The following is a 1,345-nucleotide window of genomic DNA, read 5'->3' as shown; positions in this document are numbered from 1 at the left end:
TTATTATGTGGAGTAGTTTAGTCCCTGTCCCAGTTTCCACATCTACATTTGCCTCTCCATAGCTACCATTGGTGCCAATCCAACAATGGGCCTCTTGGGCAGCAGTAAGATATTATAGAAAGCAATGCTTATTTTTTTCCTATTATACATGTGTCATTATCTTTACAATCTCATCACAAAAGGTAATCATTGTTGCTCCACAAGGTGTCCCTTATTGAATTTCTCAGAATTCTCACTTGGTTTTGAGAAGTGAGAGAAAGTTAGCACAATCCCATCTGAAGTCAATAATTCTTGCTTTGATGATTCTTTTCTCCATTATGCTCACTAATATCTATGTATAGATTGGGAAATATGCATATGTATTGTGTGCATGGATGCCAGTGCATACGGAAGTTATGTTTTCACTATACTATCATCTATTCAGTGTGCAAAGCATTATGTCTAAAAAACAACATATATGCCTTAATTAAAAATATTTATGGCTAAAATATGCTGACATGCGGACATGAAGTGAACACATAATGTTTGAAAAATGGCACCAATGAACTTGCTCAATGTATCTATCTATGTAATCTGTATCTATCTATGTAATCTATATCTATCTATCTATCTATCTATCTATCTATCTATCTATCTATCTCCCTGTCTGTCATCTATTCTGTTTCTCTGGAGAACCCTAACTCATATAGCTTTTGATACCAAAAGTTGCCCTGGAGAAAGAATTTTGAGAATGAGTTGTCTGGGTTGATTTCAGGCTTTCTAAAATCTGCTCTCTGATACGCTTATGTTACTGGCGGAGGGTGTCCAGGTTCTTGGCGTCTTGAACAAAGTACTGGACAAAACACACAAGCAAAGCGAGGGAGGAATTAAGAGATTTATTGAAAATAAAAGTAGACACCACAGTGTGGGAATGGACCCGAGCATAGGAGCTCAAGGGCCCTGTTACAGAATGTTGGGGAGTTTAAATACCCTTGAGAGATTTCCATTGGTTACTTGGTGTACACTCTACATAAATGTAGAGGATGAAGTAAAGTTACAAAGTCATTTACTGAGCATATGCCCTATGTAAATGGAGAGGATATTTTCTCTCATAGCTGAAGTGTGAATCGATCTCATGTTCCCTGCCTCAGTTACCCGGGTGGGGGGTCCTTGCTCACAAAGCTCCCAAGATGGTAACTGGCCGCTTCCAAGATGGTGGCAAGCCTTGTGTTCTCTGACCTGGGGTTCTTGGCCTCACGGATTCCAAGGAATGGAATCTTGGGCCATGCAGTGAGTGTTATAGCTCTATTAGAAGCCGTGGGTCACGGAAGAGAACCGTGGAACCTAGTGACTAGTGTTCAGCTCA

This window comes from Homo sapiens, chromosome 4 (assembly GCF_000001405.40).
Source record: "Homo sapiens chromosome 4, GRCh38.p14 Primary Assembly".
In the NCBI taxonomy this organism is placed as follows: domain Eukaryota; kingdom Metazoa; phylum Chordata; class Mammalia; order Primates; family Hominidae; genus Homo; species Homo sapiens.
The sequence above is the reverse complement of the archived record's forward strand: the minus strand, read 5'-3'. Positions refer to the sequence as shown.